Source organism: Homo sapiens, chromosome 1 (genome assembly GCF_000001405.40).
Source record: "Homo sapiens chromosome 1, GRCh38.p14 Primary Assembly".
NCBI lineage: Eukaryota > Metazoa > Chordata > Mammalia > Primates > Hominidae > Homo > Homo sapiens.
In genome coordinates, this window is record NC_000001.11 from 116729932 (window position 1) to 116746580 (window position 16649).

General features: G+C 48.0%; 1 pseudogene, besides 2 other annotated features; it reads right to left on the minus strand.

Annotated features, from left to right (window-relative positions):
- Positions 8176 to 8475: an enhancer, noted in NCBI's record as "active region_1573". NCBI's record gives its function as "activates an Ori minimal core promoter by ATAC-STARR-seq in GM12878 lymphoblastoid cells {active_cell/tissue: GM12878}" and the evidence as "EXISTENCE:reporter gene assay evidence [ECO:0000049][PMID:35858748]".
- Positions 8944 to 9153: an enhancer, noted in NCBI's record as "active region_1574". NCBI's record gives its function as "activates an Ori minimal core promoter by ATAC-STARR-seq in GM12878 lymphoblastoid cells {active_cell/tissue: GM12878}" and the evidence as "EXISTENCE:reporter gene assay evidence [ECO:0000049][PMID:35858748]".
- NEFHP1 (NEFH pseudogene 1) lies at positions 9853 to 12721 on the minus strand (annotated as a pseudogene).

Consider the following 16649-nt stretch of genomic DNA (forward strand, 5'->3'; position numbering starts at 1 on the left):
TTTGAGGACCACAGGGTGCAGAGACCTCCTCCCTGCCAGCGTCTACTTAACTCTTCTCTCAAGTTGTTCTTACTTTTTTTTTTTGGTCCTTACTCTTTAATTGCTCAATTTCTTTCCTTTGTTTTCCTAGTTAAAGGCTAACAAAAAATGAATTGGATATTTTAGTCATTTGTGGTCATCATTAATTTCATGGTCCTCTGCATTAATTAAGTCTTATTTCCTCTCCATAATCTTCTTTCCTCCTGATATTTGTAAAAGCACATCTTATTCTCCTTATTTGCTTTGGCTGGCGTGATCTAATTCTGATTTTTCGCCACCCTTATCTTTTCCTGGGAAGCTTTAACTGATGCAGCATATCCTCGTTTAATTCTTTCCCTTTTTCTCAGCAGACAGGAGAGTATTTCTTTCTCCATAGATTTCCTACCAGTCTTTGGGAGAAGTTGTGCTGATTAGATTTTGCCTCTCCTTTAGGAGTCCTGGGCTGGGGCCGGGCACGGTGGCTCATGCCTGTAATCCCGGCACTTTGGGAGGCTGAGGTGGGCGGATCACTTGAGGCCAAGAGTTTGAGACCAGCCCTGGCCAACATGGTGAAACCCTGTCTCTACTAAAAATACAAAAATTAGCCAGCCGTGGTGGCGCACACCTGTAATCCCAGCAACTCGGGAGTCTGAGACAGGAGAATCACTTGAACCCAGGAGGTGGAGGCTGCAGTGCACTGTGATCACTCCACTGCACTCCAGCCTGGGCAACAGAGTGAGACCCTGTCTCAAAAAAAAAAAAAAAAAGTCCTCGGCTGGGCTTCCCCTCCTTTCCACAGGCTCCTCCCCTGAAACCAAATCACCCAGGTTGTCCAGTCTTCCATCTGCAGCCAGACAAAGTGCTCTTTGCCCCTCAGCGGCAGGTAACTCTTTCCCTTGCTGTTTCACTGCTTGAACAGAAGACTGTGCCTGGGGCAAGAAGGAAGAAGGGAAACCATGCAGTGAGATGGGCTCCCTGTTAGCAGCTCTGGTACACAGACTGGAGGTGAAGCAAACAACAGCAAAGATGCTAGGGACCTCAAGGCGTTGAGAGCCATGGATAATTAAGTGCTCCTAGTCCAAGACCTTCAAACTTCACTTTTGATTTGTTGACAGCCAGAGGCAATGTCCGTCCCTCTATCTATGACCTGCAGGCACCACAGCTATAGTTTCCCCTGAGCGTTTTGCTTATTCTTCTCATTTAATGCCTATTTTGCTCTGCCCTGACTTGTGGTTCGTCATTTCTGTGTCTGTCTCTCTTATGTCATAAAATTGAAGTCATCTCACTCCTTTGCAACCCACGCATACTTTGGATCCTATAGTCTCCATTTCTATTAACATCATTGCCTAGATTATTCTGGAACCATCTACAGCCTCCTTTCTCCCTCAGCCTTCACAGGTAATAGGTCACCAAATTGCATTTTTATGAGTACCCTCCTTTTCATTCACGCTAGATGCCCTTCATTAAACTTTCTCTGGATGCACTGGACATTGTGGTGGCCAACTTACACCCAGCCCCATTCTCTCAATAACCACCTTTGGCTTTCTTTCCATCACCACATCTCCTCATTTACTTAAGGGATGCCAACTACCCAGAACTCTAGGAATGAAGGCTGTGGCTTATGCCTAACCCAGTCAGTGTAATTCCACCCCACTCCCCCACCTCCCTGTTATTCTCATTGGTTCAGGCTGAGCACATGACCCAGTTCAAGCCAATGAGGCTAGAGAGGACATTTATTGAAGTCTTTGGGAACAAAAAACTTCCTTGCTCTTCTGAGAACACTCCCAGAGTTGAGCCAGGTGCTGGAAGCCATCTTCCCCACTGTATGGGAAGAGGCTACCTGAAAATGAAGCCAATGCAGAAGAAAGCAGAGACAAGAGATATGGAAAGATGAAGAGTCCCAATTTTATTATTCAAGTGCATGGATCCAGCTGTGCCTGAACCACTCCTACACCTTTGTTATGCACCCACATTCTACATCCAATCCATAAGCAGATCCCACCAGCACTGCCTTTGAGAATATTCAGAATCCAATTCCTTCTATGTCTGCTGCTACCTTCCTAGTCCTCTTGCTCAGACTACTGCAGTAGCCCTCACACTGGTCTCACTGCTTCCACAAGTGGCCCAGGAGATCCTTTTAAAACCGTAAGTCGGATCACACTACTGCTCTGCTCAGAACCCTCTAACAGCTCCCCATCCAACTCCAAGATCCTCACCATGACTCTCAGGCCCTGCATGGCCTGGCTGCTCCCGCTGTCCTCCTCTCTTACCACTCTAGCCCTCGCTCAGCCCACTGTATCCTCACTAGCATTTTAGCTTCCACTTCAGGGCCTTTGCACTTGCTGATCTATCTCCCTGGAATGCTCTTCCACCAGATAGCTGCACGGTTTGTTCTCTCTTTCTTTCAGGGTGCTGCTCTATTGCTACCTTTTCAGTTAGGCCATCCTTGACCCCTCCTTCCTAAAATAGCACTTTCTTATAACTCTGTATCCCCTTGCCTTGCTTTATCTTATTTGTAGCACTTACAACCACCTGAAAAAATTATATACTGTCAACTGAAGAATCACAAGGTTCATAAATTTGGAAAGGAGAGCTGTACTTCTCTGCAGGTGACCATTCTGACAGGCTGGAAGTGTAGCCTCTGGCCAGAAGCCAGAAGCAAGGACTTAAGGGTGGGAAGACTAAGACAGGGATTTATGCTGAAGAGGGTGGTCAAATATACATAATCAACAGGTTATAGGAAGAGCTATAAATAGTAGCAAAGGGGAGTTGTGGGCATGCATAGCAGGCTAATGTGTAAAACACGCATCCCGTGTTCGCTCTAGGGTGGAAACTCAACATTTAAATGTATTACAGTTAGGCTCTATATGTCAAAAGGTGAAGCAGGGGACACAAAGGCCCTCTGTGTGCAGCCTCTGTAGACTGGCCCAAACCACCCCATGGTCAGTGGTGTCTAATGAGGAAGGGACTCTGATCAGTTGTTGTACTGAAACAGGGCTGGTTTCTGTTTAACCCTTAGGGAAAAAACCCTAATAGTAGTTAGCAGAAGGGAGTGTAAGGAGATGTGTCCGACTTCCCACTCTGTCATGGCTGGGAAGTCAGTTTTTAAGGTTTCTTTGAGGACTCTTTGGCCAGGCGGGGGACCATTCAGTTGGTTGGGGGACTCGGGATTTCATTTTTATTTCTCAGTGTATATGTGGTTGTTGTTATCTGTATCTACCCTTTAGAACATGCACCCTATGAGAACCTTGGGCTGCTTAGTTTGCTGCTATATATCCAGCTCCTAGAACAGCAGCTGGCAAGTGAGGTACTCAGCAGAGTGCTGTCAACTTACTGATTGGATGAATTAACACATGAGCTAATCATTTTCCTATTTTTGCATGAAGTATTTTCAGTTGAGTTTCTGCCACTTACAAAGTATTCTCACACAACATTTAATTAATATGTTTGCTTAAAAAGTGGACCAATGAGTACCTTAGCTTAGGTTGGGTTGTAGGTTACATCCTCATAGATAACAATACCTGACATGTGACTGTCCCTTTTGAATGCCAAGACACCACATTCAGGGCCCTCTTACATACTTACATTGGTTTTACAATATCAACAGGGCAAATATTGCCTTCCCCCCATATTTCAGGAAAAGTGAAGTGGTTTGGTGGAGTTAAGCAGCAAAGCAGGGACTGGAGCCCACATCTTGTCCCCAGCCCACAGCTCTTGCCACATCTCAGTTTTGCATTTCTGTCCATAGTTCTGCAGCTTCATAGTGTGGCATTCACCCACAGGCCTGGGGGAGTGCTATGAAATCCTGTTCCCATGTGATATCTACTTATCTAACATTTCTAATTCCCTCTTCCCTGAAAGCCAATAAAATTCTAAATCTTTTCCACATGAGACTGTGGGCTTTTTGGGAAAAAGAAAATCAAGCATATGGCTCTCAGAAAATAAAATCTGCTTTGTGAGATAAAAATCTCCCTCCTTGCCCCCACCCTCCCAGCTACCCCATGGTATCACATTCTTTGGAGTTTCATTTTACATGTTGGGGCTGGGACAACAGACACATGTGTGTGCCTGCCTTGAGTGGTCATAATACATTGCAAAAAATCCTTCTGCAACCCCTCTCTTCCAGAGTGGTTTTTTCCTTCCTCAGCTATTCCCCACGGATGACATTAGCTCCCTTTTTAATTCCTTTCCCCTCGCTGCACGCTCTGATGTTACTTACCAACCCCCAGTGGATATGCAGAGGCTTATTCAGTGTCACATGTAATAGATAAAACAGCGGGGGCTTCTAATCGGAAAATGTTTTGCAGGCTGCAAAAGACTATGGAAAACCACAAAGCTGCCAATATGGTCCAGAGTTTATTAATACATATTTGGCACAAGTGTGGCACACAACACTGCCCTGTCCCCCATGGGGGATTAGTTACATGTTTACAGACATAGCATACTGTGGAAGGGGGGCAAGGATATAGCCCCCTTTCTAGGAACCTTCTGCAGAGCTTGTTTTTTTATCTGAGGCCCAGAGACATCCAGGTAGTATGCCTCTTCATGTGGGCACAGCATTAGAGGTTGCTTGAGTCTTCTTCCTATTTTATTTATTTTTATTTATTTATTTATTTATTTTTGTAGAGATGGGATCTTGCTTTGTTGCCCCAGCTGGTTTCAAACTCCTGGGCCCAAGTGATCCTTGCAACTTGGCCTCCCAAAGGGTTAGGATTACAGGTGTGAACTCGGCTTGTAGTGGTGTTTTTAAGAGGCTACCAATTCCTTTACACACTCCCATCAAGAGGTGGGGTTGGCCGGGCATGGTGGCTCACTCCTGTAATCCCAGCACGCTGGGAGGCCGAGACGGGCGGATCACGAGGTCAGGAGATCAAGACCATCCTGGCTAACACAGTGAAACCCTGTCTCTACTAAAAATACAAAAAATAGCCAGGCGTGGTGGTGGGCGCCTGTAGTCCCAGCTACTCAGGAGGCTGAGGCAGGAGAATGGCCTGAACCCAGGAGGCAGAGCTTGCAGTGAGCCGAGATTGAGCCACTGCACTCCAGCCTGGGTGACAGAGGGAGACTCCATCTCAAAAAAAAAAAAAAAAAAAGAGGTGGGGTCAACGTCTCCTCTGCTAAAATCTGGGCTCTGTGACCTCTCTGACCAAGCGAGTGCTGTGGGAGGACGCTATGGCCTCCCAAGGCGGGGTCAGAAGGGGCCAGGCCCACTCCACCTGCAGCTTTTGGGATGCTCGCTGTGGCCCCTTTTCTGGATACTCCTAAGCAGGAAGCTTCCACATTGTAAGGAGCCCAGTCTCATGGAGAGGCCTTGTGGGGTGCTCTGGTTGACTGTACTCCAGCCTCCAGGCACAGGCCCCAGGCATGCAAGTGAGGCCACTCTCTTGGAGGCACCACTCCCAGCGCCAGCCCACCCAGCGCTCAGCCATTTGCATCACCCGGGCCATTAAAGTCTTCCCCGCATCGCTCCAGAAACAGTAGAGCAGTGAAGAGCCGGGCCCACAGGTTCTGTGAATGTAACAAGACAGCCGTTTCATGCCCCTGAGTGTGTGTGGGATGGTTGCAGCAGGAGGAATCACAGCACACAGCCAGGTGAATGCTGAGCGTTAAAAGGGCCCTGGGTACATTCCAAGAACTAGACCTTCCAGGCCTCCTGGCTGGACCACCCACACCTCATCAAATCTATAGGGCCAGACTGCAGAAAAAACTCCTTGTCCATTGTTAAAACCCTGCAGAAAGAACCAGACTCTACAGCAGTCAGCACTGACTCGCTGCCACTCTGAACAAGGCCTGCTGGGACCTCCTACTCGACCTCCCTGTCCCTCCTGGGCCTCTCCGGCCTCCTCTCCTTCCACCTTCCCTCACTCACTCCCCAGCAATGCTGGTCTCCTCCTTTGGCCCCCCACACACCAGATATGGTCCCATCTCAGGGCCTTTGTTCCTGCAGTTCCCCCTGCCTGAACTGTCCCTCCTTGTATATTTGCCTGGCTGTCTCCCTCAATTCACAATTCCTTTAGGCCGGGAGTTCCCAAGCCCTGGCTGCAGACTGGTACCGGTCCATGGCCTGTTAGGAACTGGGCCACAGCATTAGATTCTCCTAGGAGCGCGAGCCCTATTGTAAATTGTGAGTTTGAAGAATCTAGGTTGCGCTCCTTATGAGAGTTTAATGCCTGATGATGGGAGGTGGAACAGTTTCATCCTGAAGCCATTCTACCCCAGTGCCCCGGTCCATGGAAAAATTGTCTTCCATGAAACTGGCCCCTAGTGCCAAGAAGGTTGGAAACCGCTGCTTTAGGCCTTTACTCAGAGCCACCTCCTCCATCAGTCCTTTGTGGCCATGCTCTCCAAAAGGGCAAATCCCCACCCATGTCTCCAATTTGCATGACTCTTTTTCTACTTTATTTTTCTCTTGAATACTTGTCACTATCTAAATACTTCTATTTTACTCATTTTTGTTGTTTATTATGCCTTTCCCACTAGAGTGTATGTTCAGTATGCACAGAAATACATCCCCCAGGGCCTAGAAGAATACCTGGCACAAGGAAAGCAGGCAGTCAATATCCATTGCAGAAATAAATGAATACTCTGTAACAAAGTTATGCTTTTGCTTTTATCCCGAGAAACAAACAGAGTATATGCCTATCACAATAAATATTTGTTAAGTGAATAAATGGGAGACATGCAGGATGGCTGGTTTATTGTTGCCTTTAGAAAACAGTATGAATTCCATCCTGCCGAGATCTCCTCCAACTTCCCTCTCCAGCTTCACCACCTGCCTCCCTCCTCTGCTCAACCGGAGCAGGTATTCCCCGGTTCAGTGCACTGAAGCCTGGCTTCTGCCATTTCCTCTGCCTGGAAGGTCCTGCATCTACCTCTTTGTGAACTTACAACCTGTTTGTCTCTTCAGGACCAGCTCAGGTACCACCTAGCTGGAGTCCCTTTGGCCTCTGGTGAATTCCATGTGCATTTCTCCCAGGTCCTGAGGTCCCTGGGTATCTGTCTCATCTCCTTCATCTGTCTGAATCCCAGAGAAGAGCAGGTGCTGCTCTGCCTTGTTCATATCTGTAGTCCTTACCTCCCTTCACTCATAGGCAGCTGCAGATACAGATGGGGTCTGGAGAATTTGGGGATGTGTTGGAGGGATGGGGTGAGAGAGGAGGTCTGGAGAACTCCATGTTCATATCCGATTCTGTCAGAGTTTGAGAAGTGCAACAACAGAAGTAGAACTAACTGACATGCCCCTATGACAGTGAAAAGAACACAGGTCTTGGAATCAGAGAGCCTGGTCTCATCTCCTTGCTAAGTCTCCTTAGACAAACCATTTACCTTTCCCAAGCCTTGGTTTCTTCAACTACAAAAATGTGTATGCCACAAGGATATTGTTTGGATAAAAGAATATCATTCTTGAGGGGGGAAGAAGTGTAAACTGGAAAACACTATGCAAATGTAAACGAATGTGTAAAAGATGTTCTAACCAGTGAAATTGACAAGAGTGTGGCTCAGGTTGCTGCCAGAGGGTGGCAGCAGCAGGCAGGGACTTTGGCCCACGGTCCTTTGAAAAAAGCTACCCTGGAAACTGCCAGAAAGGGATACATTCGCTGGGTTGCCCTGAGATGATCAGCTCATCTGACTGAAGAGATTGCCCTCTCTCCTGGAGTGGGATCTGGCCAGGGCTGAACCAAACCCCAGAAGTCTTCCCTTGAGTGATTTTCCCCAGATGTTTTTTACGGCCACCCTCACCATCACGATGCTGTCCTGAAATTTCCGGCATTCGGTGTAGGTGTTTTCTTGGTGACCTCATCTAGTCTTCACCACAAACTTTTGAGTATAAGTGAGCAGGCCAGATTGTAACTCCTTCCCACAGATCATCATTTTTTTTTTTAAATTTTCATTTTTATAGAGACAGGGTCTCACTATGTTGCCCAGGCTGGTCTTGAACTCTGGCCTCAAGCGATCCACTTGCCTTGACCTCCCAAAGTGTTGGGATTACAGGCGTGAGCCACGGCACCTGGCTGCACCTCACCATTTCAGACATGACAAAACTGAGGCCCAAAGAGGTTACTTTGAAGATCACACAGATACTAAATAGGAAAAAGTTAGAATTTGCATTTTAAGCCTGGGTTTCTTTTTTTAGCTTGAATTCCATTACATCATCACTTCTTTCACCTTGCTTGTTCAGTTATTCATACAACCAGCACTTTTTGGGCTCTTGCAGTTTGCTGGAGAGCTGCATAGACTTCCTACTACTTAGCCATGGTGGCCGCTCTCCTGGCCTAGGCGAGCCGATGTCTCCCACCCTTTCTGTTCAGAGCTAGGGCCTCAGTCTATCTTCCTCTACTCTGGGCAGCAGGCGCCACCTCCTTAGTGTTCTGGGGCTCATATCCCAAGCCCAACAGCTGAGAAAGGGCTCTGTCTCCCCCTGCTCCCTACATCACAGCTTCTTAGATCACAATCTCACAGGCCCTGCTGGCTTTATACTTAGGCAATCCTGAGAAATAACTAGGAAGAGGAGGGTAACAAAAACAAAAATAAAAAGCAGAGAAAAGTAACGCATACCTAAGGAATCATATAAAGTTTCCTAGTTCTTCTCAATCTACAGTTCACGACTTCTCTGCTACGAAGTCTTCAAGCCCTGAGCTTGAGTTCTCCTGACTTACTTCCGAAGGTGAAACTTCTCTATTTTGTCTCTTTTATTCTCTTAAGTTGGCCTCATTATCAGGAACATAGAGGCAATCTGGGAAGAAAGCTGACATTTGTTGAGCATCTCCTAGGGCCAGGCATCGTGCTAGACCCTGGACACACGTCACTTCATTTGACCTCACAATAGGCTTGAGAACAAAGCATTTGTCTTCTTTTACAAATGTGGAAACCGAGACGCAAAGACATGAAATGACATGCCTAAATTCGTGTTTCTAGCATGTGGTGGCTCAAAGCTCTTTTCCCTTAAAGCACATGATTATACAGCTAGCAACAAGCATGTACCCCTTCTCTCAGAGGTGTTTAACGCTTGGGGGAATTCCAAGGTCAGTGACTTTCATATCCGGAACCCAGGCTTCACACAGGAACTGGCACTGTGGGCCGATTCTGTCCTCTCTGCTTTGTGGGTGGGAAGCCCAAGAGGAAAAGAAAACTCAGTTTTTGCCTTGGAGGAGATAACACCTGACAAAGGAACAAGCTCTCAGAGACAGACTTTTTGGCTGGAAAAGAGTACATCTGCTGCCATGGTGCATGCATTGGTGGCCGATAACATTAGGCTGCTTTTGTGAGAACACTCACCTCTTTGCCTGGCAGTGACAATGTTTGTGGAATCTGATTTTGCTGCTGATACTGATACTGAAATTCTGCTGTGATCATCTAGATACAACCAAGATAAACATCAATAGGACCTGGCCACAGACACACAGTGTGGCCTTTCTGATCATCACTGAAGCCCTGGCAAATATCAGTTTTTTTTCTTTTTGTCGTTTTATAAGCACTTTGTTTTATTGCACAGAAGCAATTGAAACTGGACACAGGTGGAAAGTGCGCCCTGGCATAATTCAGTGCCCAGTGCCCGGCCCCACCTGGACCACTCTTCCAGAATAGAGGTCTCTGGGCAAGGGCTTGACCACTCCTTTGGAAAACAGAAGGCATTTGGGAACAGGTTAAGACATCTCAAGCATAATGTGTTTCTAACTGCTTGTGGTCATCTGTCAGTTGCACATAGAGGCAATAAATGCACTTATTTGGAAAGGAGGGGGGCAGTTTTTATAGTCAAGTATTTACGTATGGCATTTGGCATGTATCACATTCGGCTACATAAGCTATCATAACATAATTGTCCATCGCCTCGGGAGGGTGTGGGGGCAGGAGGCTGGGATTGCCCTCTTTTGCTAACATATTGCTAATGAAGTTCCTGTTTGAAGAGGGAGGCCCTGTCATCTAAGCAGTTTCTTCTTACATAAAAAGTAAAAATTGCATTACTCTGATCCTTGAGCTCCAGGACCCTTTTGAGTTTCTTTGGCTGCTCCAGACATTCCTTTCTCCCTGCCTTACTTCCCCTTGGCAGCCTTGTCTTCTGTGGCCTTCTCTGGAGGCCTGCTGTCTTTTTGGTCTGTGCTGGAGGATTTTTCAGCCTTTTCCGCCTTAGGTTCACTGAGCTCCTTTGAGAGGGTCGTCTTTGGCTTTGGGTCTTGGGTTTCTCCTCAGGCTTCTTGAACTCAGTGGCCTTCTCCTCCTTGGTATCTTTTTTCTCCATTGCTGCTGCCGCCTCCTCCCTCTCTGCTGGTTTTCTGGGTTCCTTGGCCTTGGCATCATCTGGTTCCTTCTTGGCCATCTCTGTCTTCTCTTTGGGTTTAGCGTCTTCCTTCACCTCCACCTTGGCAGGAGCCTCCTTCTCTAAGGTGGCTGCTTTTTTCTTATCTTCAGCCTCTTCCTTCTTGGCTTCAACTTTGGATTCTTTGGGCTTTTCGATGGCAGCTTCCTTCTCCTCCACCTCGGGCTTTGGAGCCTCCTTGTTGGATGACTCCTCTTTCTTGCTCTCCTTCTCTGTTTTTGGCGTGGCGGTAGCTTTCTCTTCCTCTGCCTTCTTTGCAGGCTCTTTGACTTTTACGTCCTGGGGCTTCTCCTCCTCCTTCACTGGGGACTTCACCTCTTCCTTCTTTGGGATCTCCTTCTCGGGGGCCTTGGCATCCTCTTTCAGGGGAGACTTCACCTTCTCTGGGAACTTGACCTCCTCTTTGACAGGGCTTTTGGCCTTTTTGGGGGATTTATCTGCAGAGGGCCTTGCTTCCTCCTTTGCTGGAGTGTTGGCTTCTGGAGACTTCACATCAAGAGTCTTGGCCTTCTCAGGGGACTTTGCTTCTTCCTTCACTGGGGACTTGGCCTTCTTTGGAGACTTGGCCTCAGCCAGTGACTTTGCCTCTTCCTTTGCTGGGGACTTGGCCTTCCCGGGGGGACTTGATCTCAGCTGGAGATTTTGCTTCCTCTTTCTGTGGGGACTTGGCCTTAGCCAGTGACTTTGCCTCTTCCTTTGTTGGGGACTTGGCCTTCCCAGAAGACTTCACCTCAGCTGGGGATTTTGCTTCCTCCTTCTCTGGGGACTTGGCCTCAGCCGGTGACTTTGCCTCTTCCTTCACTGGGGACTTGGCTTCCTTCTCTGGGGATGTGGCCTCTTCTGCTAGGGGAGACTTTGCTTCTTCTTCTCCCCCTTTTGCCTCCTCTTCTTCACCCCCTTCTTCCTCCTTGACCTCCTCCTCTTTGGCCTCTTTCTCCTCTTCTTCAGTCACTTTTTCAGTCACTTGGGTCTCCTCTGTCTGTTCCTCCACAATCACAGTTTCTTTCTCAGACTTCTCTACCACTTTGATCTTCTCTTTGCTTTAGACCTTTATGTGAGTGGACATGGAGGGCATTTGGAGGAGTCCTTCTGGAAGTGAGAAAGGAATTGGGCCAAAGCCAGTCTGACATTCCTCACCTTCCAGGAGTTTTCTGTAAGGGGCTATCTCTATATCCAGAGCCATCTTGACATTGAGCAGGTCCTGGTAGTACTCTCGCAGCTGGGCCGCCATTTCTCACTTGGTGTTCCAGCGTCCAGCTGCTGAGTGGCTTCCTGGTAGGAGGCAATGTCGGCCTGATGACGGTCCTCCAGCTCAGAACACTGCCTGTCCAGTGAGTCGATGGTGCTCTTCAGTGCCTCCAGCTCTGTGGTCTCGGCCGGAAGCTGACGCTGATACTCAGTTATCTCCTCCTGCACTCAGCACATGGAGTCTGTGTTCACCTTGGCTGCCTCAGACAGTCGGTCCATCCTCACTTGGAACCACTCCTCAAACTGCAGCGTGCTCTGCACCGCATGGCCTTCAAGCTGCCGCAGATCTCATGCAGTGCAGACGCCGTGACATCACGTCACACTTGAGGGCGTCCCCTCCGCGGCCTGCACCTGCGCCTGCGCCTGCGAGGCGCCGCAGCCCTGCATCTGGCCGAGCAGCTCGCCCACCTGCTCCTGCTGGCGGTGCCACAGGTAGCTACACTCCTCTTGCAGTGCCTGCGCCTTCTTCTGCAGTTCCACGCCCGCCGCCTCGGCCTCCTGCAAGAAGCCGCCAACAGCACAAGCCTTGACCTCTTTGTGCTGCTGGGCCTCATCATGGAGGCACCGGTGCACATGTGGAAGTCCTGGAGCAGGTGCTCCTGCTCCAGGCGCAGCAGACTGCGCACCATGCCCAGGCACAGCACCGTGGGGCGCATCCCGCAGACCTCGAGTTCATACAGCTCACCCACGGTGGTGCAGCCTGCCTGCTGCTATCGCAGCACCACCGCCTCACCCTCCAGGCTGCAGTTGTGCACGTCTAGTTGCCGCACCTTGTCGCTCTAGCCTGTGAAGCAGTCCTTCAGCACCTGCAGCTGCTCCTTCTCACTGTGCGCTGTGGCTGCCGCCACCACTCAGCCCTCCCATCCCATTGGTCAGCGTGTCCAGCCAGTCAGTGCTCAAGGCGGCAGGCGCCCCCGAAGTGGCTGGGCGAGGCTGACATGGAGCTCATGGACATCCGTGTCCATGAGTGGAACCCGCTGGAGGATCCAGCAGCCGAGCGCCTTCTGCTTGTGCTGCCCTTTAGGGTCAGCGTGTAGTGGAGGCTGCTGCTGCCGTTCAGCACCCAGCAGTGCCTCAGAGCCACCAAAGCTCATCATGGTCTGAGCAGGTGCCTGGGGCCAGGACGGGATGGGAGGCACTCAAATGTCAGTTTTTGGTAAAAATGCAGCTGGGCATGGTGGCTCATGCCTGTAATCCCAGCACTTTGGAAGGCTGAGGCTGGTGGATCATGAGGTCAGTAGTTCAAGACCAGCCTGGCCAATATGGTGAAACCCCCATCTCCACTAAAAATACAAAAATTAGCTGGGTGTGGTGGTGTGCACCTGTAGTCCCAGCCACTCAGGAGGCTGAGGCAGGAGAATCGCTTGAACCCAGGAGAGGGAGGTTGCAGTGAGCTGAGATTGTGCCACTGAACTCCAGCCTGTGCAACAGAGCAAGACTCCATCTCAAAAAAAAAAAAAATGCTAGACACTTTACTCCTTTTTTGTGTTTCTACCCTGAGTCTGTGGGAAGGTGTAATGAGGGTGCAAGTGGAGGCACCAAAGAGAGGAGATGGAAGTTAGGCAGGAAGGTGAGGTGGGACGCAGGGATTACTGCAACTAAGGACAAGTGAGGTGTGCAAGGCAAAAAGTGACAGTGAGGTCTCAGGAAGAAGCAAGCAGTGTCTCCGAGTTTGGAGCACAGGTCCAAAGGGCTAGGGATTAGGTGATGAAAGTGTGGAGGAAGGGGACAGGCACAACCCAGAACCTCTCAGGGCTTAGAGTCCTCCACTGAAATGTGAGGGGATGTAATCCTATTTGGAATTTCTTTCTCTTCCAAAATCTCACAGTTCAAAAAATTCAGGTAAGTGTGAAATACAGAAATGGCAATTTTGACCATAGTCCTGCCAGAAATAACAAGTTCCTCTTCAAAGCTTCCATGGTCTTTCTTAATCAGTAATGAGCACTTGTTTCTCTGCTTAATCTGTAAAGAGCAAATGTCTTATTCTGTAAACAACCCTTCCCACCTAGTTGGTAATGGACAGCCTCTCCCTTCCTGCCTAACTGACCTTATTCAATTTCAAACACTAGCCAATCAGGTCAGCTTAGACTGTGCCCAACTCCAGCCAATGGGGAAAGGACACAGAAACAGGAACTGTTTTAGGGATAAAAATCCCTGCCCTAGCTGACTTGGTGTGCTCTTGTGATTGGAGGGATGCAGGCAGCACCCTTCTGCAAAGTAAATGTGCCTTGCTGAGAAATTTTCTATCTAAGTGCTGGTTTTTCCTTGTGGCACTGAGCACTTGCTTCTAACAACTTGGGGGCTCATCTAGGATCCCATTCTCCTCAGGGGAAGGGTCTCCGATCATCTCTTGTGAGGAGACGCATCCCACTGCCTCATTGCAGCTGCCTCAGGAGTGAGGGATCGAGACCCACCTGGCGTGACGAATAAACCCAGACTCTCAGCAACATGGGAGGAAAAGGCCTACAGATACTGCAGTGACCAGGTAATTCTGTGCATAGACCAAGGTAAGAAAAGCTGCGGGGGTGGTGAAGTACTTCCTTGGTGGTTGGGATGTCCTGGAGGTTGAAAGTGTGTGAATAAGATGCACAATTAAGTGCAAAGCGAGTGTGGAGTCTGGATTTGCTGTTCTGTGGTCACGTCACATGGCTTAAGGTGGCTTTCCTGTCAGGGGTTTATACCGACCCATCAATGCTAAGAAGGACCTAAATTCCCAGGAGAGAAACAGCCAAAGAAGGACAAAGGGAAAGCAAAGGAGTTCAAGAAACTTCCAGTGGTTGGGGGGGAGGGGGTTGCTGAGCCTCCAGAGAAAGAGTGCAAGAAATCTCTAGTAAGAGAGAATGAGCCACACACAGTCAGGAAACTCAGGGAAATGCCTACAACTTCCAGGATGGGAAATACCCTAAGCAGGACAGGGAATATAAAGGACAAGACAGACAATAAAATTCCCTCTGATAGCCCTCTAGGTCTCATGTTAAAATATTGGAGGGATAATGAAAGGACCAAACATAAGAAGAAGCAGAAAATGATAAATATTGTTGATTTATTTGGACCAAATATTGTTGCTTTATTTGGACCAAAAAAACCTATTCTCAAATCTTCAGTTTTCTCACCAAGGTTTGGGTCAAATGAGGATTGGATTTGTCAACTTTTAATAGAATATGTCAATGATAAAAGTCCTGTCTCCCAAGAGGAAATAGACTATGCCCTGTGCTGGGGGCAGGGGCCTGTCCTCTTCTACCCTCTAAAAGCTACAGGAAATAAGCCAGAAACTACCTCCCCTAAAGAAATTGAGACCCCTACCCCAAACAGTCCATTAACACATGGGATCCTTTAGACCACCTTCCTCTGCTAAACACCACCAACTTTGCCTCCTCCTCAAGCAGATGTAACCACCCCAAACCCTTCCCCTGCTCACGTTGTTCCCTCCCCTTATAATCCTGACTCTTGGGGCCATTCCCAGTCTGAATGCCCTGTCCTAGGAAAGCTTCAATGTGAAATAGAACAATGTAAAAAGGATATTCGAAACTTCCCTTTCCCCTCCTCCTCAAAGGAGTCTGCCCCAACCCTTTTTCCCTTAAGAGAAGTACCACTTGGAGGAGGGGAATTGGCTCTGAAAATGCCCCCTTAACTAGTTCAGAGGTCAGAAACCTGAAGAGGGAACTTAAATCACCATTAGATGATCCTTTTGGGGTTGTGGATCAAATTGACCAATTTTTAGGACCACAAGTATATACTTGGGCTAATGTCCATCTTAAGTATTCTCTTTTTTGGGTGGTGGAGGGGAATAAACATGATCCACAGGGCTGCTATGATAGTCTGGGAGCATGCACATCCTCCCAGTCAAAATATCCCTGCAGTAGAACAAAAATTTCCAGCCCAAGACCCCCAATGGGATAATGATAATGCAACCCACCGAAAAAACATGGAAGACCTTAGGGAGATGATAGTTAAAGGGATTTGGGAATCAATGCCTCAAACCCCAAATATTTCACTAGCATTTAATATACAGCAGGGGAAAGATGAAGGGCCCATGGAGTTTTTAAACAGACTAAAGGAACAGATGAGAAAATATGCAGGCTTAGACATAGAGGATCCCCTTGGGCAGGTGATGTTAAAGCTCCATTTTGTCACTAATAGTTGGCCAGGTATCACAAAGAAATTACAAAAAAAATAGAGAACTGGAAAGATCGGCCTATAGAGGAACTTTTGAGGGAGGCCCAAAAAAACATATGTAAGAACGGATGAAGAAAAGCAAAAGCAAAAGGCAAAAATCAGCTCTCCACTCTACAACAAAGTACCCAAGGGGCCAAAACCTGTAAACAACTTAAGCCCCCACTCGCTAGGCATATAAAGGGTATGAAAAAGCAAAGCAAGGGAATTTAAAAATAAGGAGAGAAAGAGAGCAGAACAAATGTTTCAAATGTGGAAGAATAGGTCACTTCGAAATGGAATGTCCTGAATGGGAAAAAGAAAAGGAAGTCATCCCACCTATGGCCTTCGAGGAAGAATAGGGGGGTCAGGGGCTCTGTTTCTTTTATCTCGAGTTCCACCAAGAGCCATTGATAAATTTAGAGGTGGGACCCAAACCCGAGCTCATTGCCTTTTTAATCGACTCAGGGGCAGCTCACTCCTCTCTTTGTTATCCTCCATCTGGTGTACTTTGTTCACAAGAAGAACTCCTGATCTCAGGAGTGAAAGAAGAAGGATTTAAAGCAAAAATCTTAGAAGAAAAAAAAGTCATGGACCGTCACCCCAGGACCAACCCCCACCAGAGTAATGTTAAAGAAAAAAGCCTAATCTGACTGTCCCTTTTTCCTCTTCTCTTTCCCTTAGCTACCCCACATCTCATTATTAATGTAACCAGGTCAAAGTCACCCCAAATCATTACTTTTGATGCTTGTCTTGTTATACCTTGTGGAGACTTGCAAAGTCAAAGGCAGTTCTCTACTTCAGAAAAGTATCTTTGCCATTCTTGGAAATTATCAGATTGGGCAGATTCAATTAACTGGGCAGTTCCCTTAGACTTGGGATATTATAAAGAAAACTCTGTTAACTGGGAATCTTG